At 40.4% G+C, this 16586-nt stretch overlaps 1 protein-coding gene and 1 long non-coding RNA gene across 24 annotated transcripts in view; one reads left to right on the top strand and one right to left on the bottom strand.

Annotated features, from left to right (window-relative positions):
- Nucleotides 1-16586, top strand: part of FAM13C (family with sequence similarity 13 member C) — a 117053-nt gene that overhangs the window by 41652 nt on the left and 58815 nt on the right.
- On the bottom strand, nucleotides 3957-9627 carry LOC124902429 (uncharacterized). Its single transcript, XR_007062149.1, has 3 exons — nucleotides 9561-9627; nucleotides 8758-8947; nucleotides 3957-6789 (listed from the first exon to the last, which is right to left on the bottom strand). It is a non-coding gene; the product is annotated as an uncharacterized LOC124902429 (long non-coding RNA).

Genomic DNA, 16586 nt, shown 5'->3' with positions numbered 1-16586 from the left:
TGGCTTTAAACACAAATTTATTATCTCATAGTTCTGTAGGATAGAAGTCCTACATATGTCTCCCTGGGCCAAAAAAAAAAAAAAAAAAAAAAAAAAAGGTGTTGGCAGGGCTCCATTCCTTTCTAGAGGCTCTAGGGAAGAATCTATCCATTTCCATACCTTTTCCAGTTTCCAGAGGCTGCCCACATTCCATGGCTTATGGTCCCTTCCTCCATTTTCAAGCCACCAACATTGCATCTCTCTGATCATTCTTCCGTAGTCACATCTCCCTCTGATCATGGCTGGGAAACATTTTTTGATTTTAAGGATTCATGTGAATAGATTGGGCTCACTCAGATAATTTCCCTATCTCGAGGTCCTTAATTACATTTTCACAGTCCTTTTTGTCACATAAGGTAAGGTGGCAGAGGAGCGACAATGATGAAGACATGGACATCTTTGGGGAGCTATTATTCTGTCCACTACATGTATGTTTATTTTTTTCTAGTGAAAATCTCTAAAACATGTATCAGACTCTCATATGGCACATATAACCCCAGAAAATATTTAGAAACCCTGTCCTAATGTCTTTCTACCTCCAAGTTCGAAAACACATGACTCCAGAGAAGATTCAGAACTGTTAAATCAAGGTTGGCCTAAAGCTGCCTCATTACATATTTTAAGTTCAGCCTAAAGGTTTCTCTGTACATTGTGAACTATAACCTAAATGGAGTTGTATACAAACTGTAGCCTACTTTTGTGCCAATTACCAAGTTGTGGCCAAAGGTGGCCAGCTGTTCAAACCATGTTCAAATAAGGCAAACGCCGAGCTGTAACGAATCCGGCTGTTTCTGCACCTCACTTCTATTTTCTGTATGTCATTTTCCTTTTTCTGTCCATAACTCTTCTTCCACCATGTGGCTGTGCTGGAGTCTCTGAGCCTACTCTGTCTGGGAAGGCTGCCTGATTCACGAATTGTTCTTTGCTCAATTAAACCCTTTTAAATTTAATTCAGCTAAAGATTTTCTTTTAACAGAACCCTTGTCCTAATGTCTTTCTACTTCCAAGCTGGCTTGCTCTTCTGATTTCCCTTAACAGAGCCAACCTCAGATACAGTTAAAGCCACTTCCATCTTCTTTCACTGCACCCTTCCTCCCATTTGCCATGCCCCACCCTTCCCTATATTATATTCCTTGGCCTTACAGTGCCACACATTAGAGGCCTCAAATTTGGTGTCCTACAGGTGTATCTGGTGTGGAGACATATTTGGCTTGTACAAAGTTAAACTATTTTGAATCAACATTTTAAAATCAAGAGTTTTTACAGATTTTTGGCTTTCTTTGGAAGAGTCTAAAGGAGGGATAACCCAGGGCCTACATTCCTCCAAGGCAACAACTAGCTGGAGCTGAGGAGTAGATTTCAATTTTTTTCACAATTCCTACCCAGCTCTCCTCATTTATTTATGCTCTTTGCCAAGCTTCTATAGGCATTTGATTTATAATGCCTGCTTCAATCCTTTTCTTCCTGGCAACTGCTGCTCCTGGGGACTCTGTAGCTCCCTGGAGCTAAGTCCTCCTGGATGAAAATGTCTTATCATATGGTGATGGCTGATATTGTCTTAATGCCATCTTTTCCCCAGATGACATGTTTTCATTTTAATATGGACTTCCATTGCATGAGTGGAAGGGTTGGGTTATTATACTACTCTGCATACTCCTCAATACCTGGTATTTTCAAAACATGTAAAATTAAAGAACTGCAGTTAGTTAGAGCTGGAAGAAACTTTAGTAATCATTTAATACAACTATCTTTTTCTTCTTTGACACCCAGTGAGGCTGTGATTTGCTCAAGTTCTCTCTTCCCTTACTAATAGAACCAAGATTAGTACCATCAATCTGTATGGAGTTGCCACTTAATGAATATGCATTAGTTTGACTGATTTTTAAAGCTAAAGCCGCTGCCAATCCTGTAAACCCTCAGATATGACAAAGGGAAATTTATGAATGTAAGAGAATATTAATGCAGTTGGGGAATTCTTACTAAGCTAAGTAAATTTACTTTTGAGAATGATTAACTCACTTATATTTAAAATATTGTATTAAAATTTATGACGACATTAAACCTTTAATGTTGTTAAAGACCTTGTCTGTGTAAACAGGAGTTATTCTATAGCATTGTCTTACTGTTAATTAGGTTGGTGGTTACATTGTAAGTTCCAGTTCATTGGCCTCTTCATCCAGATTCCCATGTTGCAGGAGGTTGAAGATCCTTAGCAAGGATAATGGCCTTGGATGGCCTCCACTATTTTTTGACATTCCAGATGAAAGAGAAAGCTGTGGGCTTTGTTGCTTTATAGAAAGAGGAAGTTTTGTTGGCAGCAACTTTTCTATGGGGGATAAATCCTTTCATCTTTTGTTTTTGAGATAGACAATGTGTGTGTGTGTGTGTGTGTGTGTGTGTGTGTGTGTGTGTGTGTGTTTGAATAGCTAATTGTTTCTTACTTAAATGTTTTTCATAGACGTAAGCAGAGTCTTAATGAGTTCTGCTAAACAGAGACAGAATGAATAAGAGAATGAGCACTGAGATTTTTAGTATTAATAATACAAAAGACATATCTCCCTTCTTGGACTGTACCTGATCTCTGCATATTTCTAGGATCTTCTTCTCCTTCCTCATTAGTGTGCTCCTAGGGTTTTGTTTTGTTTCTTTTAAAAGGGGAGCAGGGATGAGGTAGAGATAAAAAACAGCTTGCCTTCACAGTGCTTTGAGACTCCCTGGTATACGGTTGGATAATGAGTGGGTATTGACCTAGTTCATGTTGAGTATCCCACATAGAAAGGGAGCTGGAAAGGAGGGCTCTCCTTCACTGCCCACACCCACTGCCTCCCTCCGTGGATGCAGAAACAACCTGGTGGAAGGAAAGAACATTCAAATGAAGAGATCCAGGGTCTTATCTCACATCTCTCAGGTGACCATGGTCATTTCACTCAAATTTCTGGGCCCCCTCCTCTAACATAAGGAATTTGGGTCAAATGATTTCTGGAGCTTCTTCTGGCTCTAACATTGAAAATGCTCAACACTCTAGATATTTAAAACATTAGACATGGGAAGGCTATAGCTAAAGAATACGAGCTCCTGAAGATACAGATAAAAATAATTCCCCCTCCCCTGCTGTAGAGCACAAAAATCCCACACCCAGTCCGTGAACTGCTGATTGAAAAAAGAGCTCACACTTGATTATTTTGGAAATGAAATTTTCCTTTTTTGTTGTTTTTTTAAAGGAGATTACCCTTGGTCATTTGATAAATTGTTAGCACTTTCACTGATAATTTGGCATAAGGATAAAAGGGAAACTTAGAAACATTCTCTCATTCAAAATGCTACTACTACCACTACTACTAATAATCAAATAAGTGAAACACTGGAAAATATAGAGAATCCCAAGGATGTAAAAATGACTTGTTATCTTACCTCCGAGATATAACCACTATTACCATGGTAAGGCACTTTCTTATATTGTTGCTATTGTTTTAACGTTATAAAGAGAAATTGTGTATGAAAGGGGCTTCTGGATGCATTGGGCTTTAAATCTGCTAGAACACATGGACACAGGAAGGGGAACATCACACTCTGGGGACTGTTGTGGGGTGGGGGAAGGGGGGAGGGATAGCATTAGGAGATATACCTAACGCTAAATGACGAGTTAATGGGTGCAGCACACCAGCATGGCACATGTATACATATGTAACTAACCTGCACATTGTGCACATGTACCCTAAAACTTAAAGTATAATAATAATAAAAGAAAAAAAAAGAAGCACTATTTACATCAAGCAGATCATAGAATAGAAAGCTAGACAAGAATGCATTATGATTATACAATAATCATGTATAGCAGTGTGCTTTTCTACATAAGACCAGTAAGATGAGTAATAAGCAGTAGGTTAATTATCACAAGGTTGGTGAGTTCATTTATGGCTAAATTGAACAAATTTAATTTTCCATAGCAAATATTCTAACATACAATTTCTATAAGAAACATGTTTTGCAAGCTTTGGTATCATTATAGCCCTTTGTTAGAAATGATATTTCTAGGAGACCAAACAGGAAACTTTGTCCTTAACATCTGAACATCTTGGAAAGTTTCTTGGCTTAACATAAAATAGGTTTAAGAGAAATTTCAATAATGATTATAGGAGACAGAGAATGTATAAATTTAAACCTAATTTAGAACTTTGACCAGCTGGTTAAGTGTTCAGTGTGCCTGAGGCGACTAGAATGGGGCTAATCTTTAACTTACTCTTCAGCTTCCCAATGAAGTCGTGGCTACTCCCATATTTCTGTTATAGTTATTTGTCAATGAGGTATTCCTTTTCAAGATTTACATTAAATACTACACACACACACACACACACACACACACATTATGTATAGTGACATACACATACACACAGAGCTCCTACTCAACCCTCCATATGTATTTTTTCTTATATTATTAATGCTAGGTTAAAACATTTTTGGGATTAGATAGATAGATGTATACATACATACACATATTTATAAATTTGTCTCTAAGAATATATTATACATAATTACATTGCTTTATGTTACATTATATTATACATTGCTGTATATTACATTGTGTTATACATAATTATATTACATTGCTATGTAACTTGTTTGTCCTGCTTAATATTCTCTTTTCCATATCATAAAATACACTATAACATACGTAATGGCTGTAAAATACAGTCATGTACCACATAATAACATTTCAGTTAACAACGGACATGTATGATGGTGGTCCTATAAGATTAAAATACCATATTTTTGCTGTACCTTTGTATGTTTAGATATGCAAATACCACTGTATTACAGTTGTCTACAGTATTCAGTACAGTAACATGCTGTAGAGGTTTGCAGCCTAGAAACATTAGACTATACCATATAGCCTAGGTGTGTAGTGGGCTATACCATCTAGGTTTCTGTAAGTACACTCTGTGGTGTTTGCACAACAACGAAATAGCCTAAGGATGCATTTCTCAAAATACATCCCCGTCACTAAGGGATACATGACTCTATTTCCTTTTGTGGATATACCATCATTTATGTAATGAAATCTAAAGTATTTGATATTGCAGTTACTTATAGGATTTATATTTGTATTTATTGCTGTAGTAAACATCTTAAAAACAATATCTTTATGTGCATCCATTATAGTTTTCTTGGTTTGTGCTTAAAAGTCAAAGTTGTCTAGGCATAGGATTTGGAGTAGCTAACTGTAATGAAACTTAAGATATAAATTTTTAGCCAGGCACACTGAGATTACAGTTCATGCCTGTAATCTCAGCACTTTGGGAGCCTGAGGCGGGCAGATCACTTGAGGCCAGGAGTTTGAGACCAGCCTGGCCAACATGGTGAAACCCCATCTGTACTAAAAATAAAATACAAAAATTAGCTGGGCACGGTGGCACACACCTGTAATCCCAGCTGCTTGGGAGGCTGAGACATGAGAATCTCTTGAACCTGGGAGGCAGAGGTTGCAGTGAGCTGAGATCATGCCACTGCACTGCAGCCTGGATGACTGAGTGAGACCTTGTTAAAAGAAAAAAAGAGATATACAATTTTCAGTTGTCCGATCATGGAAGAAGATAGGAATATAATACACAACTAGTAACTTTGAGAGAACTAGATAAAAGTCATGTGGCTGGATTTCTGTATGTGTTGGAATCATAGGATGGTGGCTCTGGGTGGAATGTTGGAGACAATCCAGTTTAATCTCTTCCCCTTCCTTGTGTATTTACTAGATATTTCTGTTTCATCCACTAGCCTTCATGGTGTTCTAGTTCACATTGTGCTAAGGGCAAAGTGCTTCTGGCTCTAGCATTCCCAGAGGACATTTGGAAGTCATGTGGGGGATGGAAAAATTCTTTGTTGTGTGGGATGCCTCATTCATGTCAGGGACTCTGACACCTTTGGCTCTAGCCCACAGAATGCCAGTAGACAACTCCAGCTTCTGTAATAATCACAAATAGCCCCCAGATTTTCTACATGGCCCCTAGGGGACATACCATCACCCTGTAAAAACACAAAAACAAAAAAAACCCCACTAAATTTCATGATAGATACCTTATCTAAAACCATGTTTTATGTGAGTCTTTATTAACATGGGGACATGATCTAAGTGGAAAAAAGCAGTTACATAACAGTATCACAAGATGTTCTTATTTTTGCTTAATATATAATTATTTACAGAAACATATACTAGCAAGACAGAAATCCATATTTTAGTGGTGGTAATTTTGGGGGGAGATGAATTACAGGTGATTAAAAAAATATTTTTTGTGCTTTTACTTTCCAAGTTTCCCTGCTAGCGATCCCCTATTAAGCTTGTAATTGGCAGAAAGTGATAAGTTTATATTATTTGCAAGACAAATAATAGTACCTACTGTTTCTCTGGCTTTATTTATTTAGTAACAATTGAATCTTACTTTGGGACAGACATGACTATTAGCAGAATATTAGGAGAGAACAGATTTATTTTTTATTTTTGTTAACTGGGAAAACTTAAAATGAATTTTCAGTGACACTTACAGCCTTTGTGGTTTAGGTCACTTGGGATCAGAAACCAAATACTACAGATGATTTTATAGGTTTAAATAATGTTTAAAGCCATAATTTGTATCATAGATGCCTCTTTTCTTCAGCATTTGCCTCAGTAGAAAGTCTCTTCTTATACTCTTGAGCAGCATGCCAAGCCTCTCAGGGGTCCAGTAGCACAGAATTCTTATCAAGAGCACTCTGATGATCCTGCAGATGCAGGGACAAGGGAAATATCAAGACCCATTTAAGTGGGGGTGGGGTCCAAGGGGAGAAAGATTGAGAAGGGGTAGATGCAGGAATAAGACAGCTGTTGAAGTCTTCTTAGTGCCTTAAGTTTAGCACCAACACAAGAAAACAGTTTTGGCCAAACCCAGCCTATTGAATAAATCTAAAAACACATTAATAGAGCCCCTGGGAAGGGCCTAGGAAATATCCAAGATACTGTAGTGTAAAGAGGAAAGGCCTTGGCAGTATGCAGACCTGGATGCTAGTTCCAGCTTTGTTGCTTCCTTGGACAGATTCCCTAACCTCTCTGGGCTTTGATTTCTTCAGATGTGTGATGGAAATGAAAATATCTACTTCCCAGAGCTACTGTCGCAAGGATTAAATGAACTGCATGTTCAGCTTCATTCAGGGTCTGGCCCACAGCAGGGGCTCGGAAGATTAATGTTGCTATTCCATAAGAGAGGAGATCCTTCCTCCATGAAGGTTTTTGCTTAGCTCCACAGTATTGATCTATGGCTTGCCAATACATCTATCTTGCTGCTAGTGTTCTCTCTTCTCTCCACCATTTATCTAAATTTTAATCTCATCTCAGAGCCCAGCTCTCTCCCAGCTTTTCATGCACCTTCTCCTTTCTCAATAGCCCATGTTGATCTCTGTAGTTAGAACATGTTCAATGTAACTAGACACATGGTACTAGTATTAAAAGAGTTTGGTTTATCTCTTCAAATAGGATATATGCCTATTTTCTGTAATTCTTTTGACTGTGCAGTTTTCAGCACAGTGCTGAACTCATAGGTTCAGTAGTTTAGTAAAGTTTCTGCTTATTGATTCTTAGATAAGCAATCCCATGGAATTCTGGTTTGCCCTCTATAATCTCACGCCTCTCTTGGCCATATTTCATTATGGTCCTTTATGTACCTGGTCCTTTACAAGCTCTAGTTTGCTTTTGTGTACACTGGCTAAATTCTTGTGCTTCCATATCCATCCTGCACAGAGCCCAGGTTACCTTCATAGATCTGTTTTTCTGCACATCTTTAAGCTAGACCTTAGCTTCCCTCTAGTTGAACCAAAAACTATGCATACCTTGGACAAGTTGGTTTCCCAACTCAATCTCAACTGAATTGCCAGTTGAGATTCCAGTGATTTGGACTCGCTTGCTCAACTTGGACATGTGATTCAGACAATTTCAAAAAGGTTTTTAAAGGGGTTGTACATGACAAAGTGGCCCTAGTTGGCCATGAATAGTCATGGTTGGAAAAGTGGGGATCAAGAAAGTGGTCATTTTCAATGTGTAATTACTGCCAGTCTTGCTGATCTTGCTCGTGTGCAACAAAGGAGACCCAGGCTATTGCATGACAAGTGGTTGTTTCTTGGTAATGTAGTTGGTATTCTCTGCAAACAATGGAAACTAACTGTGTTTGATTCAGGCAAGGAAAGGAATCTAAATGAAGGCTATTGCTTAGCTTAAAAAATTGAACTAAGGGCAAATATGCTTTGGGAAGGATAAGAACCAGGCCTAGTCCATGGATTTCTGGAATCACAATGACAGGGACATGTTTCTCTGAGGTGTTATCACTGGATGATCCCACGCTAATACAACAGCTTTTCATTCCCCCTCAAGTTTTGACTTCAGGGAGAAAGGAACTAACTGGCCTAGTTCAGGCCACATGTTTACCCTTTCATGTAGAATTGTGGAAAGCTAGTTTCCCAAGGGAAAGGGAGGTTGATGTCAGAAGAAGTGGATTGGAGATGAAAAATGCTGAACAGATGAAATCAGTATAGTGTTGGGTGACATGGGGGCATGGGAAGAACCTGGAGCTGATGGAGCAAGAGGACTAAGAACCAATTTTAAGGGTCAGAAAGGCTTGGTGTGGCTTGCCAAACTTAACTGAGTCAAAGACATGGAAAGACCAGGGCTCCTCCAACTTGCCTCCCTGATCATTAACTCACCCTTGCTCCTCAGACCGACACTGATCCAGGTTCTGTTCATCTTGTGTCAAGTCGCATCAGCAAAGACAAGTAAAGCTGGAGTGTGCTGAACTGCAGAGAGAATGTACCAGATGATGTCAGAAAAGTTGGTGGTGGACACGCTGCATGGGGCCTGGTAGCCTGGGTGTTGATCCTTGGATTTTGTCTAAGTCTAGAAGAAAACCACTGGAGGTTATAAACAGGAGTGACAGACTCAGATTGACATTAAACGATCACTCTGGGTACTGTGTGTTGTACACTATACTGTAGTGTGTTGTACTCAGGGGTACATCTTGGAAGCTAATATATCATCCCTGTGGGAGGTGCTGGTGACAATGAAGATGGAGGGAAGATGACAGGTGAAGGATAGAGACTCATGACTCTTTCCTTTTGGGAGAGAAAGAAAATCTTGAATAGGGAACAGGCAGCATTTAGGCTTGATTAATATTAATGCCTACTCAAATCCCCTGTGCCTTGAAAAATATTCTTGTGTTCCAAGAGCTAACCTGATTGATACTTTAAAAGTTAAAGTGTTGCAAGTCTGAGTATCAGTTGTAATATCACAGAAGCCAGTGTGATACGTAGTTACAAATATTCATCAGCTATTCACCTGTCGTTTAAATTCCGCACCCCCACCCCCCAGCCCATCACTTGTGACACTCTGTGCCCTTCACTGCATCTGTCCCTGATCTAAATCTTCATTTGTGTGATGAGGTTTTTCTCTTTCCCCCAACTGTAAGCTCCAAAAGACAGAGATTGTGTCGACTTTGTCACCGCTTTCTTACTTGAGGTTCCTCTTGAAGGTGGATTCTGATAGATAGGAGGAGCTGGGTACAGGAAGGTGGTCCCAGGAAGCAGGATCTAGGGAAGGAGGAAGAGCCCACAACAGGTGTGTTACTTGGTAGGTTGCCACTCTGAGCAACTGGGGTCTCTCTGAGGAACTGTGTAGGCAGTATCTCAGACTTATCCCTCTGAAAGTTGAGGAAAGGGCTGCAGCATTTATTCACACACACACACCCCACCTTCTCTTCCGGCTGCGGGCTGCTCCCAGGGGAGTTAAATCTGCCACACATGCAGGCTGAGGGAATGAGCCCTGTCTGGCAAAAAACTTTGAGGCAGAAGAATGAAGAAACTTGGCAGAGGCTTGAGGTGGGCAGAAGTGTCCTTGGAGCTGAAGTATTGGTTACAACCACTCGTCTCCTGGGCTGAGCACTGCCTGGCACATGGAGCAGGTGTCTGATCATTGTTTACTAAGTGTATGGAATGTATTTACTAAGTGTATGGAATGAATGAGGTGATGAAAGCAAAGTGCCTTGTAGCCTGCTCAGCAAACCAGGTGCTGCTATAATTATTACTCCTAATAATGTCTTATTGGGGCCTCTGCTCTCACTCATTCACCTGCTGGATCCTGTGTCCTCAATATTCCATCCAAAATGTGTTCTTTATGGTTCACAGTGTCTTTTAAACCACACCCATGTCTACTTTACCTCCACTCTGCCAATTCTGAAGCTGGCCCTGTGCACCTGACTCACTGCTCACCCATTCTCTGGGCATTGCTGTGGTCTTGGCTGCTTCTGGTGTCTGTTCCAGCTCACCAAAGTGAGAAGTGGTACCTTTTCCAGGACAGCTGGGCTGCCCTGTATTTGAAGTTTTTCATGGTGTTTTGAGGGGCACAGCCTTTCTCTCTTTGGGAATGTGTTCCCTGGGGGACCAGGCCAGAAACACCATGTCACTCCTATACTCAAAGAAGTTCCTCCCTTGCACGTTTTAGCCACTGGTGTCCTCCCAGGCTGTTGCACTTGGACCTTTAGGATAGCGTTCCCCAATTAGGAATCCCCTAGAGTGCTTCTTAACTATATGTCATCATCCTACTTTTCTGGAAATTCTGATTAAGTAGGTTTGGGTTGTGGCCCAGGAATCTCTGTTTTAATAATACTGGCTGATTCTAATCTTCAGAGAAGTACAAGGTGGGAGGTGGTGGTTGGGGAAGTTGGCTTCTGGGAGGGTATACCATTGGGGATCAGTGTTCTGTTTCTAGCTGAAGCATCCTTGGGAGTTCATTGGCCTGGACAAGTGGATACATGGGTTGGGAAGTCAGTTTCTGAACATCCATGGACTTCGAGTTTTGTTTTCTTTCAGTAGTCTCTCGGGGAATAATTTTGAACACTGTGGCTTGGTTTTTTTTTAGTCTTTGAAGTTGGCTGCTTAATATTTGACCTCAGTCCTTTAGCAGACATTTGGTAAGAACCAATAAGAGAATGTCTTCAATGTGGCTTCGACTCTCTAGAGAAAGGAACTTTCTATTTACTGGTATTAAGGGCTGTTATTGTTTCTAATAATATTACTGGAATTTATTGGCATCTTGTCTGTGTCTGCATATAGAGCTATTGTTTGTATATAAAACATGTTTTGCTCAGAGGGTTGTCCTCTTGGGATATACCTTTTGTTTTCAAAAGAGTTTCAGGAAACACCAGTCATACAGCCAGCCAGCAGTCATCCGGGTATACATTAGTGTATCCCAAGTATTGCCTTCTCATAGAGAGGCTCAATTTTTTATGCAGTGGAATATCCTGAATTCTGAAGATGTGATGGGAGTCAGCACTGCTCAGTTCTAAGGCTCTGATTCTATGTGAAGTATTCTGAAAAGTGTGTTGGATGCTCTCTTTTTACTCTTTCTGCCCAGGTTTTCTAGGTCATGGGTTCAAAAGCTACTAATTAATCTTTCATAGATCTCTTCAGGGAAGAAATGCATTTGTTATGGGAATGAGAGTCATTCCATCCTCTAGGCTCTGCTAGCATGCTATAGGTGGAAGAGGGAGCATCAGTTATCATTACTTTACACACTCAGAAATATATAAGAATTGGCAGCTGCCCATAACCCTAGGATGAATACGTTATTTACAAACATATGAGTGCCTACTGTGTGTCATATGCCAGACTTGGCCCTAGAGATAAAATGCTAAGCAAGGCTGCTATGGTCCTTGCTCCACAGTGCTCACCATCGTGAGAAAGAAACAATCAAATAATTACACAAATACATGATTAAGAACTGAGACCTGCTGCATAGCAGAAAGTAGAAGATCAGAATACAGTGAGAACATATATAAGAAAGGGAGACCTGACTGGGAGCTATCTAGCATCTAAAGTATGAATGAGTTACTTAGGAGAGAAAGTGGAGAGGGAACAGCATTACAGGCACATGTGAAGGCCTGCGCTGGAAAGGAGCATGGTGCATCCACAAAACGGAAAGAATGCCAGTGTAGCTGGAGTTCAGAGAGGGAGAATGATGCAAGCTAAGGTTGAGGAGTGGGCACATACTAAATCCTTCAGGGTGTCATACAGTACTCTCGGAATTTTGAGTTTTATTTTAAGTATAGTGTGCAGAAGGGTAGTGAAAGATCTTGTGTGAACGGTGGCCTGAGGAGGGTAGAGGGGAAGTAGGGAGACCAGGGAGAAACTACTGTCATTCAGGTAGTTCAGATGAGAGGTGCTGGTGGCTTGGCCCCAGATGGCAGTGGTAGAGATAGAGGGGAGGGGACAGACACAAACATGATTTGGGATAAGAAATTGAGAGGCTTGTTAATAACTTGGTTATTGGGCTTAAGGGAAAGAAAAGCGTTAGATAGCTGTCCGTTGTCTTCCATGAGCCATTGGCAAGATGGGGAAGCTTTTCACTGAAATAGGAAACACTTTCCTCTGCTAATTTAATTATAGATAGTTCAAACATTGGTGTAAATATACAACTGTGAGCTAAAATGTGGCGTTTTCACAAATTATCACATCCTGCAGTTTGACACTGTCCTTAGGCCAAGAAAAATATCTTAATGCTTAGTTGGGTTTATTGTTTTGAACTCCAGTACACCTCCTGCGAGGAGGCCACTAGAAGATGACCCTACAGGCTGACTCAGCACGAGCTTTAGGGTTCCAGCAAAGTGGGAACATCAAACATTTTTAGAAAAGTTGTATTTCAGTGGGCTATCCACAAGTTTGTAGTCATAGGCTATCCACAAGTTTGCAGTTTGAATCCAGGGAAAAGCTCTTTTCATATCAGCACAAAATTAAGTTTTGCATTTCTCTGTTGAGAAGTATTTTTTACTTTGAATTATACAGTGGTGGCAGCAGTGGCAATGGTGGTGCTGGTGGTGGTGATGGTGATGCTGGTTGGTGGTGCTGGTGGTGGTGATGGTGGTTGGTGGTGCTGGTGGTGGTGGTGGGGGTGATGATGGGGGTGATGCTGGTGGGTGGTGGCAGTGGTGGTGGCAATGGTAGTGGCAGTGGTGGTAGTGATGGTGGCAATGGTGATGGTGATGGTGATGATGGTGATTGTGGAGGTGATGGCAGTGGTTGTGGTGGTTGTGGTGATGGTGGTGGTAATGGTGGTGGTGGTAGTGGTGGTGGTGGGTGATGATGTTGGTGAATGGTGGTGATAGTCATGGTGGTAGTAGTGGTGGTGATGGTTGGAGATATCACATGCTCATCACTACTGAGGGCCATAATTGGGCTCTGAGGAGTGCAGGCTGCATTTCTCATTGCCAGGACCTGGGCTAGAGGACAAGCTTACACTGGAGTTAGCACAGTACTATGACTGGCTGACTCATTTTGGTCCCCTTTAAAAGCATGCATTTGATATATATTTGCTTAGTTACTTTCCTATTATTGTTTTGGACACAGGCGGCAAGAGAATTGGAGGGAGTGTTCAGTGTGACCGAGTTTTTGTGTGTAGGCCAGCTTCCAGGAAAGATTGTAAATGGTTCAAGCAGTATCGTTAAGGATCTTAAAAAGAAGGGAGTTTGAGATGGCTAGCTACTGTTCCAGTTCTCCATCATTCATTGCTAAACTCCAGTGAAAAGCTTCATTTATTTTTCCTCTTCTACTATGACCTTTATCTTTTTCAGTCCAGTGGCCTTTTCTTTTCTCGCCTTCTGTTTCTCATGATCTCTAGGAGACTTTGACACTTTGTAGCAGTGTGAGCTTGGGCCATTCTCCTGCATGTCCTGTTCTTCTTGCCTTGCTTTCTTTTTCTCCATAATACTTAGCATCTGGTGCACCATAGATAATCACTGGTTTATTTCTTTTTGTTATCCTTCCGTGAGAATATAAGTTCCACAAGGGCAGACTTTATTTTATCCACTGCTTTGTTCCCAACACCTGCAACAGTACCTAGCACATCTTTGGTGTTTAAAAAATATTTGTTGACTGAATGGATGAAGTATTTAACTACCCTTTCTCCTATTAGGTGAAATAGATATAATAATGCTAGTCTCATATGATGACCTTGATGATTAAATAAAATAATGTAAGTAAACTGCCTGGAAGACCCACTCTGGGGTAGTAAGGGCTGGTGAATTGAAGTCATTCTTGGGTCTAGTGCTTTCTCTCATTTATCCATCTCTTGAAAACATACATACTGAGAAGCTTCTAGGTACGTTGCCTAGCACATAACGAAGCAAAAAGTGATGCAGAATCTGCCCACATGACCTTATCTGTGGCCACTGTACACCATCATAATTATCTCACCCCCCTTCTCTGCTGAACACACTTAGAGTGCCCCATTCCAGGGTGAACCCTGGCCAGACATTTTTACTTCTCTATTTCAGTCTCACCTCAAGCTTCAAATATCTAAATCTGAACTCATGAATTGCCTCTCTTCATGAAAGACATTACATGTTTTTCTGGCTTCATTAAAAAAAAAGAAACCTGCCATTTTCCTTGTCACACAGACTCAAGTTTGTAATAATTTTGATTACCGCATCTCTTTCACTCCATACTTTGAATCCACACCCAAGACTTCTTGATTGCTTTTATCCTTGAAAAATGTCTTTTATCTGTCTCTAACTCTCCAGTTTCTCACCACCATTATTCTTTTTTGTTTGTTTGTTTTAGAGATGGAGTTTTGCCTGTCACCCAGGCTAGAGTGCAGTGGCACGATCTCAGCTCACTGCAAACTCCGCCTCCCGGTTCAAGCAATTCTCCTGCCTCAGCCTCCTGAGTAGCTGGGATTACAGGTGCACACCGCCATACCTGGCTATCTTTTGTATTTTAGTAGAGATGGGGTTTCACTGTGTTGCCCAGGCTGGTCTCGAACTCCTGAGCTCAGGCAATCCACCTGCCTTGGCCTCCCTAAATGCTAGGATTGCAGGCATGAGACACAACGCCCGGCCTCTCACCTCCATTCTAACGTCAACCCTTTTGCCCTGATGCTTGATTTGCTGAAGTGGCTTCAAGACTCAGTGTTCATTAGCTTTATCATCATTTAAGTTTCACTAGATTCTAAGTCTCCTTAAGGCACTGCCTCTGATTGTCTATTATTGTTTCCACAACACTGGACCAGGCACACAGTAGACATTCAGATGGTTAGTAAATTAAAGTACCTTTGATGCTCTAGACTACAGTTCTCAAACTTGTTCTGGAGGTTTATCTAATGGTTAAGAGTAGTTTCCTTGGAAGATCATGTGAGTATATTCTACGTAGGCTCTTCTCTATATCTCACTAATATATACCATATATTTTTAACAAAGTATATTTCTGCTTCCTTCCATGAAAGTTTGCTACTTGGTTATTTGTTTTACCATCTGCTGTCACTCATCAACAGGGAGCTTGCACCAAAGCCCTAGAAAAACTTGTATTTGAAGAGTGTAAACCAGTAAATATTTTTTCTATTAGAGAATACCACTCTTCCATTTTGCTGGTGCTACTCTATAGAAACATAGTTTGAGAACTACTGAGGGTTACAAAGAAACTATGAGCCATTCAAAGTGTTAGATGTTACTGAGTAGGGTGGATTAACCCCTGTCTCCAAGACTGCTTTTGCCTGTTTTGTGGGAAAGAGCTATTTTGTATTTTCTGATGCACTGAAATCACTGTTTGTGGTTCAGGGGATTGATGGATATTAGATGTGTGAGCCAGCAGTCTTCCTCCTCACCCTCTTTTTCCCCTTGAGCTATCTAAGCCTGAGCTTGTGGTTGGGAGCCTTAGGCTCTCTCCCACCCAGGAGGGAAATGCTGGTTTGTTCAGGCATGGAGGACATTAGTCTGACCTTCACAATTTTCTTCTATTACCATCTCCTTAACTTTTCTCATTAGAAATTGTTTGCACAGTAAGCAAAGCTTGTAGAGTAAAAAAAAAATTGTATTCTTAAGAATATTTTAAAGAAGTTAGGCTCCTGGCATTTCTAAATGTGCATTATGACATTTAGATATTGACCTTGTTGCCCATTTAGAGGACATATATGCTTTCTTCAGGATGCAAATTGGAGCAGAATAGTAACTGTAAATAATTAGGTCCCCAAAGAAATCTTTTTATAAATGTTAACACTGACAAATCTCTTATTCATTAAGATAACTGGCCTTTTTATAAGGATAATAACTATAAGTTAATATGTTTATTATATAATAGCATTCAGACTGTCTCAGAAAAACTTGAATTCTATTTAACAGATGACATTGGACCATAGAATTTGACAAATTATGATTTGGACCTAAGGATCTTTCAACAGTGGAGTTTTGTGTATTTTGTTTTTGTTTGTAAGCTACAGAAAATGACTTTGAGTAGATATGCTTTAAATTCATTTTCTTCTGTTGTCAGTCATGTAGTGGCAAAACCCAGCTTCGCCATGTGTCTTAGTCCATTTAGTGTTGCTATTGCAGAATACCTGAGGCTTCATAATTTGTAAGGAAAAGAAATTTATTTGGCTCACAATAATGGTCACTGAAAAGGCTAAGATTGGGTGGCTGCACCTGGTGTGGCCCTCAGGCTGCTTCTCCCATGGCAAAAAGCAAAGGGGAGTTGGCTTGAACAGAGATCACATGGTG

Source organism: Homo sapiens, chromosome 10 (assembly GCF_000001405.40).
Source record: "Homo sapiens chromosome 10, GRCh38.p14 Primary Assembly".
NCBI classification, from domain to species: domain Eukaryota; kingdom Metazoa; phylum Chordata; class Mammalia; order Primates; family Hominidae; genus Homo; species Homo sapiens.
The sequence above is the reverse complement of the archived record's forward strand: the minus strand, read 5'-3'. Positions and strand labels throughout refer to the sequence as shown.